This window comes from Homo sapiens, chromosome 5 (genome assembly GCF_000001405.40).
Source record: "Homo sapiens chromosome 5, GRCh38.p14 Primary Assembly".
In the NCBI taxonomy this organism is placed as follows: Eukaryota; Metazoa; Chordata; class Mammalia; order Primates; family Hominidae; genus Homo; species Homo sapiens.
This window is the reverse complement of record NC_000005.10, coordinates 76675588-76695005: the sequence shown is the minus strand read 5'-3', so window position 1 is coordinate 76695005 and position 19418 is coordinate 76675588. Positions and strand designations below refer to the sequence as shown.

The following is a 19418-nucleotide window of genomic DNA, read 5'->3' as shown; positions in this document are numbered from 1 at the left end:
GTAAGGCAGTCAGAGAGCTTTATTCTTATAAGGGAATCACAAACCAGCAACTCTGAAAAACTTGCAAAGTTTCTTTGAGCCAAAGGGAATAAGAATATTCTAGCACATTATAAATTCCCAAACGATGAGTAAATGAATGAATGAATGAATACTCTTTGGATAGTCTGTTCAAGGAAACAGTAACAAAAAGAGACTATTGGTCTTCCCATTTCATTGTACTAGACAATTGACTGACCCAATAGATGAAGTCTAAGGAAACGACTATTAGTTAGGGACAGTAATCTTAGACACAGGACAGGTAGGTCAATATTATTGGAACATTATTACCAGGTTAGCAGTAAATAACAAAAGCAGCAGCCAACATTGTTGAGCACTTAATGTGCACCAGATACAGATGTACCCACTTAACATGTTTAATTGACTTAATCCTGCCTGTGAGCTGGGTACTATTATTATACCCATTTTACAGTTGAGGAAACTGCGGCACAGCAATGCTTCTAAGTGCACAGAGTTACACACCTAGGAGGTGCAGAGGTATAGTTGATCTCAGAAGTCTGTGTTCTTAGTCACTTATTCATGATACATTTAGGGGAAAATGAAAAATAGTAAGGAGTAAAAGTCTTTTATACTAACCTAGTATAATATTTTACCCACATTGTTTAAAACATACCCACATATTAACAAACGTGTGATTTGAAGTTTTGCTTTACATTTTTTATTAAAAATTTTTAAAAATTAGAGATGGGGGTCTCACTGTGTTGTCCAGGCTGGTGTTGAACTCCTGGGCTCAAGTGATCTACACACCTCAGCCTTCCAAAGTATTGGGATTACAGACATGAGCCACCATGCCCAGCCTTTTATATTTTTTAAATTAAAAACTATTACAAGGATTCCTTGGCAATCAATTAAATTAAGAATGATCCAGGAAAATTATGTGTAGCTGTGCTAAGAAATAGTTAATTAAATAATTAACTTTTGTTTAGGGAGCGGCAATTATTGGTACTAAAATAACAACCTTGAATTTATTTTAGAACGAACAATGACGTATTTTCAAAGATGTTAATAAAAAGCTAAATGCAAGATTGTTGTGAAACCTCACTTACGCTAACATAATGATGCTTTGACTCAGTGGACTCAACATTTGCTTCTGAAGCATTTGGAAAACATCTTTAACATGTGAGTCGCTTATTTGTTTCAAGTTAGTAAATACATAAAATGTGAAAGGTATTTTTCAATATCCTGTCAGCTAGAACTCTCTCAACTGACTTATTTGCCCATTATGATGAACATTTCCGGGCTTTGAAAAACCCAGAACTATCATCCTAGGTTAAGACAAAAGTATATTCGGCATGAATTTGGTGCTGTATTTTCTATTTCATTCCCATTGATACTTCATACAGGTTTATATATGGCTGAACTAAGTCCACTGCAGTAATAGATAAAATTCCTTACTTCCGGACCATGTCAGATACAGTTTCTCTGAGATAATAAACATATGGCATAAAGATTTATGAAGAAAATCAACACCTGTCTATTATTATTTTACACTTAAAGTCAAATTACCTGTTGCGCAGTTGCTGGTGTCTCTAAGATTTCTGTCAATGTGTTCCCTGGCTGGTTCCGGATCACATCAATTATCAGCTTCTTGGTCCTTAACAAACCAGAGAAAGAGACAGACTTTCAGACTGTAGTCCTTATGCACAAAAATCTGTTTCTCCTAAGAGAGTGCACAAACACATACAATACTGAAGCTTCAAAGATAATACCTTAAAATAAAACATTCTTGCGGATATTCACCAGGTCTGCTATAAGGCTCCTGAAAGTTTATGAATGCTTGATAATCAAAGTCTGGGCTTTCTGTGCTTGATGTTGTAGCATTATACTGTCAGTAACATGGGCACAAGTGTATCACAAGATTTCCTCTCTAAATACTTTTCCTTCTTTTTTAGACGGAGACTACTTTTTGATGGGCAGGGGGAGCAAGTGCTGCTGATATGGCCTGCTACTGCAGAGTGCAGGAATGATATCTAATATTCTCCTTTCCTGACTTTAATAGCACCTAGACTTCTGAGCTGGCTTAATACCTCATAAGCCTTTAGGAGCCAGACCAACTGTTACCTTTCCTACTATCAGAAAGCTATTAAAGAGTCTGAAGACCAGTGGGAGCGAACGTTCAGTGTGGGCTGTGGAGGCTTGGTCTGTCAGCTGACACAGCAGCGAGGAGGATGGTGTTCAAGGGCCTGAGCAACTAACAAATAGGGTTAACAAAGAAACCTATTTGTTAGGTCTTCTTCCAGTCTTCAGGTGGAAGAGAATAGAAGAGCTTCTCAGTAAACAGTAAAGAGCTGGAAAATTCTTCTGGAAGTACGAAAACCGTAGTTCTCTCATAGGTGTTCTTTATGGCAATTGGCCACCACTTCCTAGGGAGGCATCATGTTATGTAATTACGTACAAAGGTTTTAACATAAAAGCTAAAGGGTCAAATTTGCTCACTTTTACATAAGGTGGAAACAGTATTATTGGAAAAGGCTTTCCTTCTAAAAAGAAAAAAAAGGGCCAGGCGCGGTGGCTCACTCCTGTAATCCCAGCATGTTGGGAGGCCGAGGTGGGCGGATCACCTGCGGTCAGAAGTTCCAGACCACCCTGGCCAACATGGCGAAACCCCATCCCTACTAAGGATACAAAAATTAGCTGGGCATGGTGGCATGTGCCTGTAATTCCAGCTGCTCAGGAGGCCTAAGTGTGAGAATTGCTTAAACCCGGGAGGCAGAGGTTGCAGTAAGCTGAAATCGTGCCACTGCACTCCAGCCTGGGTGACAGAGTGAGATACCATCTCAGATAGATATCTAGATAGATAGATAGAAAGAAAGAAAAGAAAGAAGAAAAGGAAACACAGACAAAAGTTTGTTTAAATTATACATACACTGGTCTAATTGACATCTGAAGTTTCACTTTTACTGTAGTCCCGTTATTGCATTTAACTTTAGTTATTTCAGAGTCATTACATGATATCACTGAATGACTAATTTTTCTTCCTAAACTCTAGCAGGAAATGTTCATGTAGCATGAAATTTAGAAATGAGAACAAAATTTTCACATTTTGAAGGATATGGGCAACTACTCCCAAATGACAGAGAAAACCCTTCAAGTTAATTACAAATATATTACTTTTGAAAATAGGATAAAATCCAATAAGCCATCTGTAAACATCATTTTTCTCATTTCCTATTTATCAGAAGTCTGTGTGAAAAGAACAATCACAATGTGTCTTCCTTGCCTCCCTTCCCCCTAGCCTTTGGAGAACCATTTCCTCTGGCCCCATGACCCTTTGCTGCTGGGGATTTACAGGCTGTCTGGGAATGCACAGCTAAATACTCCACAGAGACTCAAAGGTGGGCCCACAGCTAATTACAGCCACGTGGGGGATGGCATGTTTCCTAAAGCGGCTGTGGCTGAGAAAGCAATGTATCCTTTCCTTCCTACACACCACCTTCCTCCAGCCATCATCATCAATGTATTAAACAGGAACACTGAGTTAAAAATAAAAGCTTTGGATGATTTAAAAAATGTCAATATAGTAACTTTCTTGTTTGAAATAGTATTCTCAGAACTAATTGTGATATACAGTTTCTAGGGAACTTCTAGTTCTTTAGAGAAGCTGTGCAATGACCAAATGACTGGAGTCAATAAAACGTGCCCCACCAAAGACAAAGAATGTTTATTTGCTCAAGAGTTGCTGGAGGACAAACTGCTCACACAGCCTGTTTCCCTTGGACTTCTACTGTACACCAGGCCTGTGGAATTCATTGCCAAAGTTCTACCTCAGACATAAGTAACCATCCAGTCCCATGACAGGGAACCCACCTCCCTCCCACTACAGTGTGTCTAGTGCTTAAGGACGACGGGGACGGACAGATTTAAAGCCAAATCTGTCTTGGCTTGGACTCTTGTTGCATATTAGCCATGTGGATTTGTGCAAGTTATATAATCCTTGTAGGTTTTGTTTTTTCGTTTATAAAACAGGAATCTCTCAGGACTGATGCAAGGATTGGATGAAAAGATCTAAAGCCTTCTGTGAGGTCTGGCACATGGTAAGCACTCACATGGTCGTTAAAGCTGTGCTGCCCATGATGGCCGCCACTGGCCACAGGTGGCACTTGAGCACTTGAGACATGGCTAGTACAAACTGAGATGTGCTGTGTGAAACACACACTGGATTTTGAAGATGTTGTATGAAACAAAGAATGTAAAATATTTCATCAATTTTTTACATTTATTACATATTTAAATATTTTTGGATATATTGGGTTAAATAAAATATATTATTAGAATTAATTTCATCTATTTCTTTTTAAAATAAGGCTTCTAGAAAAGTTAAAATTACATGTGGCTCATATTAAATTTCTTTTGGAGAGTACAATATTGGCACATTCCATTCTCAAACAGGAGCTCACTCTGAGAGGCCTGCCTTCCAGGGCCACCCAGTCATGAAACCTGGTTAGTCTTAGGACTGTGGCCCGGAGAGAGACCTTTGAAAAACAATCCAATCCCTGATTGTACAAATGTGGCAACTAAGACCTAAGAGACTAGAGCTGCAGGAAACAAGTCCAATTCCCTTTCCAAATCAGCAGCTCCTGAAAAACCTATAGAGAAATGCCAAGACTGTGTTCCTCTATCCCCTCTTCCACCATCTTTCCTTTTTCCAAGTGAAACCACTCAGTCCCTTAAAGCTCCTCACAATGGCATCTGCAGAGAGCTCACAGTCCTGCTCACATTCCAGTTACCAATGACCTTAATATGCATCCCCCTTCCCACCCCAGTCCAAATATAACATTCTGGATATGGTCTGACCAGCATAAATCAACTGCTTAGAGTACTGGCGCCAGGGCTCTTCAAATATGTAAGATAGGTTGATCCAAACCACGGGTCTTGCTCTCCCTGAATGAGGAGGTATCTAATTTTGAAAAAGAATTAAGAAAAAAAGAGAAAGAAATACACCAGGGAGTTTATTCATCATAGCTGTGCTCAAACCCCACTGTAGATAAATGAGCCCATACGGCGCTTGTAAGCTGGTGTGGCCCCTTGGGTTTGGCCACTCCATTCATATGGTATCTATTATTACCAGTAGCATTCCTGAAGCTCCCCCTCTGTCATCTGCTTATACTGTGCCCAAGGTTGAAAAGCAATCAGTGTTTGTGGAAACTAAGGAATATTTTCAGTATTTAACATCCTAACAAGATAATTTACATTATTAGCTCCAGACCTCAAATATCACCTTAGCCATTTAGTGCTCCTGCTAGTTTGGACCAAAAAACAAGGAAATCTTTCAGCTGGGATCATGGAACCTAAACTTAATCATGTGACAGGAAATTCTTAAGAGATGACAATTTAAGCACTCAAGCAGCTAAGTATGATTAAAAACCACAAATATTGCCTTCTACTTAAACACACATACTTTTGTGGGAAACTAAGCTTAATTAAGGCCATAAGGATCACATATTTTAAGTTGAATCATAAGTTATAATGAAAGGTTGACAACTGCATAGTTTTATATAATTTATGTGGTATTAATTATAATTTCATGTGATCATCATAGCCCTTCCTTTCCCCTCTCCTCTATATTATGGAGGAGAAAACTGATGGCGAGGCAACTTGCTGAGTTCCATGGTTAATAAGTGATAGATTGAGGCTATAACCCTATGTCATCCCTAAGACCCCTCGACTAGGTTTTTAGGATTCCTCGACCAGGTTTTTTTTTTTTTTTTTTTTTTTTTTAAATATCCCTGTGCTTGGTAGTATTAGAAAAATAGCAATAGCCCAAACTGAGGTTCTCTATTCTATAAACATACACAAGGGAAAAAGAAATAAATGTTTCTTCCTACTCCGATATGTGCCCTTTGTCCCTCCTCTTTGGCCTGGAAAGATGCTCCAGCCTCCGTTACTCAGTAACTGCTCAGCTAATAATTCTCATTATTTATTCTAAGATTCCTAAGAATGCAAAGAACAATGACCTTGCCCTCGACAAGTTGTAAAACTTTATGATCAAGAGTGTGGGCCCTGGAGGATTTCAAATCATGTGGGTTTGAATCTCTGCTCCACTTAGTAACTGTGTTACCCAGGAAAAGGTTTATACCTGTTCTGTGCCTAGTTTCCTCATCTGTAAAATACTGATAATAACCTCCACTCTCTTGGGGTTGCTGAGAATATTACATACATATTTTATACATGTTTATTTTAATATATATATATGCACATGTTATTCTCTTTCTCTCTTTACAGATTGTGGGTCCCTTTTTCAAAATGCTTGGGCCCAAAAGTGTTTCAGATTTTTTATCTTTTCAGATTTTGGAACATTTGCATTATATACTTACTGCTTCAGCATCCTAAATCCGAAAATTCAAAACGCTCCAAAGAGCATTTCCTTTGACCACTGTCAGCTCTCAAAAGGTTTGGAATTCTGGAACACTTTGCATTTGCACAGTATATAAAAACTGTCCCTGGCCATGGTAAGCACTACATAGGTGTTTGCTATTATCATCATCTTCATCTTCATCTGATGAGTAAGAATTATGAGACTAGCATGGAATTAAATTTACAAACATAATGATTAACAATGCCTCAAATTCTGCTACTGTGGGGGCCTCCATGAAGATGAGTTACTCATGACTGGAAAACTAGTGACATTGTAATTAAACATAAGGGCATTTCTGAAAGTTAAGAACACAATCTGTTTCACAAAAAAGCAGAATAGTTTTTTGATAGAGAAAAGCTAGGTATTTTCACATCCCAATTGCTCTGCATTTCATGTCTGTCCACTTCATAACTTATAAAAGTCATTGTCCGATTTTAGTTAAATTTGGTTCTCTAATGAATCTCAAGAACTATATCTTATGCTTGAGTTACAAATTCGGTTTATTAGCTTGGAAAAAAGTCATCCTGATGAGAGTGTTCAAATCAAAAAAGTCATCCTCATGAGAGTTCAAATCAATATTTTAAAGGAGTGGTCCCCAACCCTTTTGGCACCAGGGACAGGTTTTGTGGAAGACAATTTTTCCATGGACAGGGTGGGGGATGGTTTCGGGAAGATGATTCAAGTGCGTTACATTTATTGTGCACTTTGTTTCTATTATTATTGCATTGTAATATATAATGAAATAATTATACAACTCACCATAATACAGAATGAGTGGATGCCCTGAGCTTGTTTTCCTACAACTAGACAGTCCCATCTGTGGGTGATGGGAGACAGTGATCATCAGGCATTAGATTCTCATAAGGAGTGTGCAACCTAGATCCCTTGCATGTGGAGCTCACAATAGGGTTCATACTCCTATGAGAATCTACTGCTGCCACTGATCTGACAGGAGGTGGAGCTCAGGTGTTAATGCCAGCAATGGGGAGCAGCTGTAAATACAGGATGAAGCTTCACTTGCTCCCCTCCTGCTGTGTCGCCTGGTTCCTAACAGGCCATGGACTGATACTGGTACTTTTAGACTTTAGTTTCCTTGCCTGCAAGAAAAAGACTCAGTTTTCAGGTTCCCTGTCAATGCTGCACTTTGTAATTATCTGTTAGTATCAAGATTTTTTCAAATATGTACTTTAAAGGAAGTATATTTAGAAGCAGGGCTTGGCTAAAATCATAGAACTAATTCTATTGAACCTTTTGGGCAATATCCAAATTTCACTTTCAGGGATGGCTAACCAGTCAGTGTTGATTTCAAATTGTTACCTACATTGATCACTGGGCTGCTTAGTAAAGTGGTCGGCCAACAGTAAGATCTCACAGTATGCCAAGAGGAAGGCCTTTGAGCATAAAAGACTTAGGGCCTCTATTAAAACACTGGCCTCAAGCCTTTTTTACATAAATGGAAAAGTTGATCCTAAAATTCACATATAACTGCAAGAGACCTATTCAACTGCAAGACTAAAACAATCTTGAAAAAGAAGAAAGAAGTTGGAGGACTTCCGTATTTCAAAACTCATTACAAAGCTACAGTGATCAATATGGTGTGGCACTAGTACAAGGATAGACATATAAGTGAATGGAGTAGAATTGAAAATCCAGAAATAAAGCCATACATGTATTGTCAATTAGTTTTTGACAAGGGTGCCTAGACCATTCTATGAAGAAAGAATAGTCTGTTTAACTAATAGTGCTAGAACAACTGGACATCCACATGCAAAAGAATGAAGGTGGGGCCAGGAGTGGTGGCTCACGCCTGTAATCCCAGCACTTTGGGAGGCTGAGGTGGGCGGATCATGAGGTCAGGAGATGGAGACCATCCTGGCTGACATGATGAAACTCCGTCTCTACTAAAAACACAAAAAATTAGCTGGGCATGGTGGCAGACACCTGTAGTCCCAGCTACTTGGGAGGCTGAGGCAGGAGAATGGCATGAACCCAGGAGGCAGAGCTTGCAGTGACCCGAGATCATGCCACTGCACTCCAGCCTGGGCGACAGAGCGAGACGCTGTCTCAAACAAAAAACAACAACAATAACAACAAGAAAGAATGAAGGTGGACACCTGTCTCACACCACACACAAAAATGAACTCAAAAAGGGTTAATAGACCTAACTGTAAAAGCTAAAACTATAGAACCTTTAGAACAAAACATTGGGGTAAATCTCACAAGTAACAACAACAACAACAACAACAACAACAAAAAAAACAGATAAACTGGACTTCATCAAAATAAAAAAAAAAAAACATTTGTGCGGAAAAGGACATTATCAAGAGAGTAAAAAGCCCACACAAGGGGCAAAAATATTTGCAAATCATATATCTGATAATGGTCCAGTGTCCAGAATATATAAACAACTCTTACAACTGAGGAACAAAACCACAAACAACCTAATTTTAAAATGGACAAAGGAGTTAAATAGACATTTCTCCAAAAAGAATACATAAATACACAAGTGGATGACAAACATATGGAAGGATCCTCAACATTACTGGTCATTGGAAAAGTACAAACCAAAACCACAGTGAGATACGACTTCATATCTTCAGGCAAAAGTTCAAAGACATAGAGTGCAGACTAGTAGTTGCTAGGGGCTGGGCAGCAGCGGGGAATGGGGAATGACTACTTAATGGGTACAGGGTTCACATCTGATAAAAATGTTCTGGAACTAGACAACAGTGATGGTTGCACACTGCGAATGTACTAAATGCATGTACACTTTAAAATGGCTGAAATGGTAAGTTTTATGTGTATTTTACCACAATAAAAAATAAACCCACTGCTGGCTCTACATAGTGTGGTGATTAAAGAAGTGGATAGTGTTTGTTTCCAACACACTGGGGGGGACGGGGGAGAGCCACACAAGGGCAGAGGCTGGGTAATGGGTAAGGCAAACAGGACAATGTCCCAGGTTTCCCAGGCTAAGACACATTGCTTCCAGACAGGCCTGACTTTTATGGTTTTATCTTTAAATGTGATTTCCTAGAATTTGCAGAATCATGCAGACTCATGTTCAGGAATAAGTATAAATATATATGATATTCAGATTATCTGATACTTTGAACTACTCAAATGGTGATTCTCAGATATCATGCAGACATTGGAGTTGACTGGATTTAGAAAATGATGTTCAAATAGCAGACAAAACTAATTAAGAAAAAATTTCTTCCCATTACTTCTAAAGGACAAAGCTTATGAGATCATGGGATACTTGGCCTAATTTCATTTACATGGCAAAACCACACAATCTGTATTTCCAGTTATCTTTATAATTGGCACTTGTTCAGAGGAACCCAGGGTGTAGACTTTCTCCCCCTTTCTCTCCTGCCCTGCCCTGAATTGTCTCCCTGAAATTTTCATCTGCCTTGGTAATCTGTAGTCAAAAAGAACCGCCCTCAACTCTTGTGAGGCCAAGGGTGAGTCCTAGTCCTGCAACTTGGTTGCGGTCCTACTGTCGAACTGTGCTCTCCACCCCTGTAAGACAGGGGCTGTTTCCAGCTTACCCACTGTTGTATCCCAGCCTCAAGCCCAGCGCATGAACACAGAGTAGGTAGTCAAGCATTTGCTGCATGACCGAATGGAGCCTCAGATGATCTGAGGACAAAATCAACAAGCCTAAGAGAGGAACATATCAACACAGCACAGTGAAGAAGCTCTTCCTGTTGTTTTCACAGATGATTGAATGTTTAAAAAAAAAAATCAAGTGGAGATGAATGCTGTCTTCATTCACACTTCAAGCACACTTCAGCACATCAGTGGCAGGAGAGAAAGCTCTTGCCACAAATTAAAACCTCAGAACTCAGGACAGGTAGCTTGGAAGTAATATGTTTCGTATTGTTTCAACACATACTTGTTCCCTTTGTCCTCATTTTTCCACTTCCAGTCTCCATCTCACCCCAATACATAACTGTTCTAATGTACTGATATGCATTCTTGGGTTTGTATAAGTTCTTGAAAACTGCACTGCTTGGTCAGCGGGTGCTTTTGATTTATGGTGTTGTATCATGAATCTCATTCTCTTTCTTACTCTGTGTGTAAAGGATGGATGTGGAATATCCTTGATTCTTTGATGGAGAAAAGATAGTATTATTTAAAGTGTGAATGCTTCACTTGAAATCTTTAGCGGCAGGAAGCAGGGTACAAATAAAAGTCAAAGCTGGTAAATATATCCAGGATCAGTTTAACAGGAAGGAAGGCCAATAAATCAGATGCTATCATAATGTCTTATTGTAGGTACGTGTTTTTATATTATGATTTTATACCGGAAATAAACGTTGGTTAACTGAATTTCCTCACTAATCTTCTGGCCACTCTGTAATAGATATTTCTCTTCAGTTACCTAAGGACTTGCATAAGCTGAGTTAATCATTTCTCAAAGGAAAAAAATCAAATTACTACATGGAAAACTAAAAACCAAGGAAGGTGTTGTAAACTATTATAATATTTAATGCCTTCCTAAATTCTAAAGAGTCTATTATCCTTTGGTTAGATGTTTGATGGATATACATAATAGATTTCAATGTTCACATACTTTTAAATAAATTAGTTGGGATTTAGCCTCATTTGAATTTGCATCATTTAAGATGTGTATTTGGAGACATGTGCCCTTTAACCCCCAAACTTACTTTATCATGAGGCTTCGGCTATCTATAGCTTCACCGTCCTCTATGTCATATTTGCTTGTCAAGACAAGAGAAATCTCGGTCTTTGAAAGCTGACTTAGTGTATTTGCCTTGTTAGGGTCATTGGGGTCAACTGCTCCTTCCCCTGTAGGGAAAAAACCTAGTGTTATTTTTCCAATTCACTCTTTGTGATGATGGCACCAACAATGTAAGATAAAGGTTCTGTGGGAAAGATAGGCTTGGTAATTAAATGGGAGATCATGGTCTTTACAAAACCCACATTCTACTATAGCTAAAGTGGCTTTTAAAATATCTGATTGAAAAATGAAAATGACATGGGACATAGGTATTTCAAATACAAATTACTAAAAAGGATAACTGTTAATAAAAGTATTTTTCATTTTGTAATAAATTTGGTTCTTTATTGATGGCTTCTTTCTGTATAATACAGGTTGACAATTCCTTTTTGACATATCTGGAGCTTACCTTCAAGAATACTGAATTATTTTATAATCCCGGACTCCATTAATTACAGAACTCTTACTGTAGGAAGGGGCAAGTGTAGTTGTTATTCTTTAAATATGCTTAAGCATTAAATTCCAAAATAATTGTTTTATCTAGGATAGGAAAACCAACGAACCAACCAACCAACCCACCCAATTAAACAAAAACCAAGGGATAAGTAGAAGGAACAAGCTCTTACCAAGAAAAGATTCCACGGTTGGCACCTCTCCCAGCGACCCCAGCAATTCACTCAGTAAGTCATTTTTCTCAGGGGCAATTGCATCCTGGTGTTCCAACAGGAGCTTTATGTAGAAAGCAACACACACACAAAGAAAAAAGTAAATTCTCAACTGTACCATATTTATATGAAATTTTTCATAATTTCCTCCTCATACCATTTAAATCTTAAATATGAGTATGACATTTATAAAAATTAGAGACATAGATACAGTTTTTATTGTATCTCAGAGGGAAGCACCTACTCTACATCAAGAAATTGTTGCAAGAAACGTGTTCATAAACCCTTTTTCAGCAAGGTCTGCCAAAGGGAAGCCTTCTACCACCTGATCTCTGTGCTTCACTCTTCCTCCATAGAAAAAGTCAAAGTTGGGGGAAAGAGTCCAGAATGAGGCAGATCTTTCAGTTAACATTGGTAGCAAACTGGAAGGGCATTTACATCTCTATGCAGTAATCAAATACTACAGTTATCTTCTTCTTAATCACTACTATGAGCTGTTTCAATCTGTCTTGCATTGAAGATCTCTCATGGGTAAGGATGTAAGAGACCTAGATGTCCTGAGTGGTTTCCCCTTTCCTTATCCTAAGAAGGCCCAAAGATGAGTAACATCTGCTGGGGTGTCTTGCCAGGTCTTACAGGAAACAGTATTAACTCCTGAGGGGTAGCAGCACTCGGGGGAAACCATGAAAGACAACACTTTTTTTTTTTTTTTAATTTAAACAAATTTTAATGGAGTTGGTTTAATTGTTACAACCTTACACATGAACAGCGACACATCTGTTTTTGCTTGCATTTCTAATTAGATTGAAACAACATTTCCAAAGTACGGAACTAGTAATCTTGGAGACAGGAGATAAAATTTGTTGTTCTCAGCAACTATTTTATAAAACTCTGCATCATAATGATAAAGCTAGTTCCTTTTCCATTTTCAATCTTTTTTCCAACAGCTTTACCAAAATAGAATTCAGATACATCAAATCCACTCACTTAAAATGTACGATGCAATGGCTTCTAGTGTATTCACAGAGCTGTGCAGCCATTACCACTCTCTGACTGTAGAACAGTTTCACTGCCCTAAAAGATACCGGGTACCCATTGGCAGTCACTCTCCATTATCTCTTCTTTCTATCCCCTAGAAACCACAAATATACCTGTATGTATTTGACTACTCTAGGTACCTTAGATAAGTGGTATTTGTCTTTTTGTGACTGGCTCATTTCAATTAGCATAATGTCTTCAAGGTTCCTCCATGTTGTAGCATGTATCAGAATTTCCTTCTTTTTAGAGCTGAATAATATTGTATTGTATGAATATAACACATTTTATCCATTCATCTAGTGATAGACGCTTGGCTGTTGTGAACAATGCTGCTATGAACATGAGTGAACAAATAACTCTTTGACTCTGCTTTCAATTTTTTATGGGTATACTTCCAGAAGTGGAACTGTTAGATTATGAGGTAATTCTATGTTTAATTTTTTTTAATTGATCGTGCCGCCATACTCCAGCCTCTCTGTTTAAATTTTTGAGGAAAGACCATCCTGTTTCCATAGCAGCTGCACCATTTTACATTCCCACCAACGGGGTGCAAGGGTTGCATTTTCTTCACATCCTTCTCAACACTTATTTTCTGTTTTTTTTTTTTTAAATTTTGATATTAATCATCCTACTGGGTGTGAGTGGTATCTCCTTGCAGTTTCAGTTTTGATTTCTCTAATTATTAGTGATGCTGACCATCTGTATACTTCTCTGGAAAAACATCTGTTAAAGTCCTTTGTTTATATTATAATTGGGTTGTTTTGTTGTCGATTCGTAGGAATTCTTTATATATTCTAGATATTAACCCTTTACCAGACATGTGATTTGCAAATATTTTCTCCCATTCCATACATTATCTTTTCACTCAGTTGATTATGTCCTTTGATGTGTAATTGTCCAATATTTAAATTGGATTATGTTTCTATCATTGAGTTGTAGGATTTCTTTATATATTCTGGATACAAGTCCCCAATCAAACATATTATTTACAATTATTTTCTTTCATTCTGTTGGTTTTCTCAAGTTTTTTTTTTTTTTTTTTTTTTTTTTTGAGACAAAGTCTCGCTCTGCTGCCCAGGCTGGAGTGGTTCACTGCAAGCTCCACCTCCCAGGCTCAAGTGACTCTCGTGCCTCAGCCTTCCGAGTAGCTGGGATTACAGGCATGTGTCACCGCACCTGGTTAATTTTTGTATTTTTAAATAAAGATAGGGTTTCTCCATGTTGGCCAGGCTGGTCTTGAACTCCTGGCCTCAAGTGATCCACCTGCTTCAGCCTCCCAACATGCTGGGATTACAGGTGTGAGCCACTGCACCTGGATGAAATTTTTTTTTTTTTTTTTTTTTTTTAAATGAGACAAGGTCTGACTCTGTCACCCAGGTTAGGGTACAATGGCATGATCATGGCTCACTGCAGCCTCGAACTCCTGGCTTTAAGGGATCCTCCTGTCTCATTCTCTCGAGTAGCTAGGACTACAGGCATGCACCACTACACCCAGCTAATTTTTTTTTCCTATTTTGTCGACGAACTCCTGGCCTCAAGCATCCTCCCACTTTGGCCTCCCAAAGTACTAGGATTACAAGCGTCAGCCACCACGTCTAGCCTCAATTTCTTGATATTACTCTTTATAGCTCAAAAGTTTTCAATTTTGATGAAGTCTAGTTTATTTCCTTCCTTTGCTGCTTATGTGTTTGGTGTCATATCTAAGAAACTACTGCCTAATCCAAGGTCACAAAGATTTACTCCTATATCTTATTTTGAAGAGATCTATAGTTTTAGCTCTTACATCTATGTCTACCACCCATTTTGAGTTCACTTTTTGTATAGAGTGGAAGGAAGGGGCACAACTACATTCTTTGGCATGGGAATTTCCAGTTGTCCCAGTACCATTTGGAGACACTATTTTCCCATTGAACTTAGTCCCCTGTCAGAATGAATTAACCATAAATGTGATGGCTTATTTCTAGACTCTCGATTCTATCCCATTAGTCTTTATGTCTAACCTTATGCCAGCATAGCACTGTCTTGATTACTGCCTTTTCCGTTCTCTTCTAATCTTTAAGATCAGTGAAGGAGAGAGTATCTGTTTGATGCTAAATTTTTCTTAACATTTCCCTGACACATGGAGAGTTGTTAACAAAGAGAGAACACACCTCAGATACATAACTTCAAGGTAAGGAAGTGACTGTATCCAACTATTTTGTTTTCATTACACTTATTTTCTTCTAAAGTTTCTGTGTATGGCAAAGCAGGCTAGTTTTTCACTATAGTAGAGGTACTTTGTTTTAAAGCAAAGAAATTACGTGTTGTTTTTAAAAAGGTGAGTTGATTCAAAGAAAGGCATTAAATAAATAATAGAGGTGATACAAAGACCGGGCAAAATCTGGAAAGGCGGTACATATGATGTTTTGGAGGGAAAATTAAGAGACAAGAACAAAATATGCAAGATGGATAAATTTATGTTCTTCTTCTCTGATGAGCCAGGGCAACTGATTTGGCTGTTTTCTTTGGAAATGATTATTTAGGTGGCCACCTTCTACCCTTTATTCGGAAAAATTTCCTGATAATGTCTTCTTAAAGAGCTTATTTGGAAGTTCTTGCATCTTCCTTAGAGAAAGGGGTAAGCACATGGCCACAGGCTTGGCAAATCCTGCTACTGCTGTGCTTGTGTCTGCACACGGACGCCTCCACACAGAAGGCAGACAGTAAACAGGACAGTCTTCCTATGAAATTACACAATTTCCCCACATTACATCTGCTTCTAACCTAACACAGGAAGGAATTCCAAATCAGTCACAAGCTCTCTTTCCCAGGATTGAATTCTGTTTTCAATTTTTGTTAACAAAAGAACAGACTATTTCTCCTTAAAGACTTCTAAGACTTCTAAATTAATACAGTAACATTTTCTCTCTGCTACCCTTGGGAAAGAATCTCTCACTCTAAACAAGTACTCCCCACCATTTTTTTCGCATGTGGATATTGCATTCAGCAAATGTGCACCCAAGATGTACATATTCTTTGAAGACAGATAATGTACCACAAAAACAGACAAATGGGTCATTGCTCAAATATAAATGAGTCTGTCCAGTAGATAATTATTTCTGTAAGTAATGCATTGCTAGATTGCTGGACAGTTTTCCTTGTAATCTAGGGTGTTCATATATAGAGAAAAGAAGGATAGCCTATTCATTTAATCAGTATGTATTGAGAGCTTGATGTAAATGTCAGGGAAGTTCCCTGTTTCAACCCTGAAAGAAGAAAATCAATACTAGATTCAATCTTTCCTTCAAACCTACATTCAAGCTTTAGTTTCTTAGAAGAGCTTAATAATAGACTGAAATTTTAAGCAGCTAACCTGCCACTTGTCAGTATGTCTGGTTTGATGGGGGCTAGAGCACAACCTTTGAGAATGTGTATTTGTTATGCTTTCCCTTTGGTTCTCTGTATAATCCAAAGTTGGGTGCATCCTTAACTGAAGCATCTAGAACTTGAATGTGCATCTGAATCCTCTGGGATCTTGTTACAATGCAGGTTCTAATTTGGGAGGTCCAGGGTGCATTGCTAACATATCCCCAGGACCTTGCTTCAACTCACAAGGTCTGAAACTATTCTTGAAATGGTTACCTTTTAAAAACCAAGATTTTTTCATGAAATAAGTTCCAATTGATCTTAAAAAGAAAACAATGCAAACCCCTCAATGCTTAGCTTTTTTTTTTTTAATTTTAATGTTTGAAAAGTCATCTAAAGCCTCCCAATTCCTTCCCCATGCCACTGAGCACAGTGCCCTGCACCCAACAGATACTTAATACATGCTAATGGCTGACGGCAGTGATGTCTGCATGCAAACCAGATGTAGATGTCATAACACAGCACATGATGTGAAAAACTGCCTGCTTCCGAGAAATGGGGGTTTCCAGAACAATGGAAGTGATTCTTTGCAGAAGGCTACTATTGGGTGGTAGTTTCTTGTTTTCGTTGCGTAGCCTGTTTATTACCACTTTATGTTAAAACATTAGAATAAAAAGAATATTCTCATTTCCCCCAGAAAATTACTGGAAAAGCTGAGAGGGTTCCTGGAAGAGGGGAGAGACAGGGTGTAGGTCTACATAGCATAGCTTTGGCGGATGAGAACACCATAGCCTGTCCTGGCTCAGGGCTTAAACTGCATATTTACAATCTGGCTTTATTTTTATTATTTATTTATTTATTTTTTGAGGTAGGGTCTCGCTCTGTTGCCCCGGCTGGAGTGCAGTGGCACGATCATAGATCACTGCAGCCTCAGACTCCTGAGCTCAAGTGATCTCCCACCTCAGCCTCTTAAGTAGCTGTGACTACAGGCATGTACCACCAAACCCGGCTAGTTTTTAAAAAATTTTTAGTAGAGATAGGGGTCTCACTATGTTGCCCGGGCTAGTCTCAAACTTGTGGGCTTGAGTGATCCTCCTGCCTCAGTCTCCCAAAGTGTTGGGATTACAGGCATATGCCACCATTCCAGTCACAATCTGGCTTTGTAAATGGATTATGCCAAAAGTACACTTTCTTTTTTGGGGAGAAGTTTTATTAATGTCTAGGAGTCAGGGAATAATTATGTAAAAATAGAATTTTGTTGTTTGGGAGAAGGAGTTTTATTAATGTATAAGAGTCATGGAATAAATAATTGCGAGATTTTTAGGGTTAAGAATATGAGTATTAGCACATGTGTACAATAAGTCCTGTAGAGATTAAGCATTTTCAAGATAACAGATGCCTAAATCATGGGTCCATTGCTAAGATGGCTCCCCATCCCCACTTACTGAGTGTGTGCTGATGATTTCTTCAATTGAAATATAAATGACTGGTTTGCTGACTGTCACCAGGTCTGTGTATTTGTCCATATTAAACTTCTCTTCTGGCTCAGGGACATTACATGCTTCTTTGAAATATTTCCTAATAAAGGGGGGAAAAGTCTTAAGACAGACTCAAACATGTGCATTAAACAGTTTCATCAAAATAGCTAGGAAATTTTGAATGATGACATGTACTTTGTTCCCATCTCAAACCTTGAGAGGACGTGTTACAGCTTCTTCCAGGCTGGCTCCTGGCTGTCGGAGCTGCATCCATGTTTCTGGATATTGGACCCAGCTCCTCAAACAGGATTGGAGAGAGTGGCAAGGGCCTCAGGCCCTGTTTGTGACTTAGTGATATAGTGACCTATGCGTAGGTCATCTTAAAAATGTTATTTTAAAAATGGTCCCTGAAACTTAAAAAGTCAAAAATGATAATTCTTGATCTAAGAATCAAGTCTGTGTGAGGAATACAATAGAAAAAAAAGCAATTAGTCAAATTTGCTGCTTTAAACAGCACAGGCTCCTGGGCCTACATCACCCTAATCACCCTTCAGAGCTTCTGTTACCAGTTTGACAAAAATGAGATTAAGTCTACTCTTCTTCGTTGCTGCAAATATTTGCTGGCCGATGGAAAGATTGTTAAGGCTAGACACCCAAATACATAACATGTCCCAGGACTCAGACCCTAAAAAGTCTATTTTAAGCTAAAGCAAGTTTTGACAGAGATCAAGAGAAGTGAGGCATGCTGTGATCACAGTTGAATAGTTCTATGTATTTTTTGCCTAAACAATTCTTGTGCAGGTCGAATATACATTTTATTCTATAAAGTTGTAAATGTTTCATATGCCTGAAATCATTGTCGGCATCTCTCCTACAGGCACCTGGGTCTTATGTACCAGAAATGACCTCTGCTTTCCCAGCCAGAGGCTGGGGGAGGTTAAACAGCAGAGCCCTGTTGTGGGGAGCATGTTCCCATGTAACAGTCGGCTTTCCTATGCTGCTTTGGTTATAATTTTTTGTAGATTTCTGAGAAACACAAAGGATAAATATGAGTGGAAGAAAGGACAAGTTTAGAAGAGGCTCACTTCTTTGGTCTTGTTTCTTTTTAAATAAAGAATAGGTGGGAACATAAATGACTGATAGGAATAACAGCAGTTAAAAGTTCATGAGAAATGTGGGAAATGGATATTACTTTGTGTGTGTGTGTGTGTGTGTGTGTGTGTGTGTGTGTGTGTGTGTGACAGAGTCTTACCCTGTCACCTGGGCTGGAGTACAGTGGCACAAACACGGCTCACTGCAGCCTTGACCTCCAAGGCTCAAGTGATCCTCCCATCTCAGCCTCCTGAGTAGCTGGGACTACAGGTGCTTACCACTATGCCCAGATAATTTTTTAAATTTTTTGTAGAGATGAGGTCTCCCTATGTTGCCCAGCCTGGATATTACTTTGTTAGTCAGTGAGGAGAATGAAAAATTAGCTTGAAAAATCAACACTTTCTGTAGTAGGAGGATTTGGGGCAATTTTCTCACAAAAGACCACAAATTCTAAATAGAAATGAATAATCATGAACTACCTTTGTTTTCTAGTAAGTCACTCACTCCAAGGGAGACCGAGGAATGAGAAATGAGTTTCCAAGTGAGGATTAAAAGAGGCCAAACTGATGTTACACTTCTATGGCCTGTTGATTAAATGGCAGACATGAGAACAAACATGACAAGAGGAAAGTGTTTCC

At 38.6% G+C, this 19418-nt stretch overlaps 1 protein-coding gene across 12 annotated transcripts in view; it reads right to left on the bottom strand.

The window, feature by feature from the left end:
* IQGAP2 (IQ motif containing GTPase activating protein 2) overlaps positions 1-19418 on the bottom strand; it is a 304848-nt gene that overhangs the window by 13127 nt on the left and 272303 nt on the right. For all 12 annotated transcript variants that reach the window (NM_006633.5, XM_017008960.2, XM_047416641.1 and 9 more), the window contains 4 exons: positions 17656-17788; positions 11789-11891; positions 11089-11230; positions 1564-1651 (listed from right to left, as the gene is read on the bottom strand). In NM_006633.5, coding sequence (NP_006624.3) covers positions 1564-1651; positions 11089-11230; positions 11789-11891; positions 17656-17788 — 466 coding nt within the window. The remainder of the gene's footprint in view (positions 1-1563; positions 1652-11088; positions 11231-11788; positions 11892-17655; positions 17789-19418) is intronic.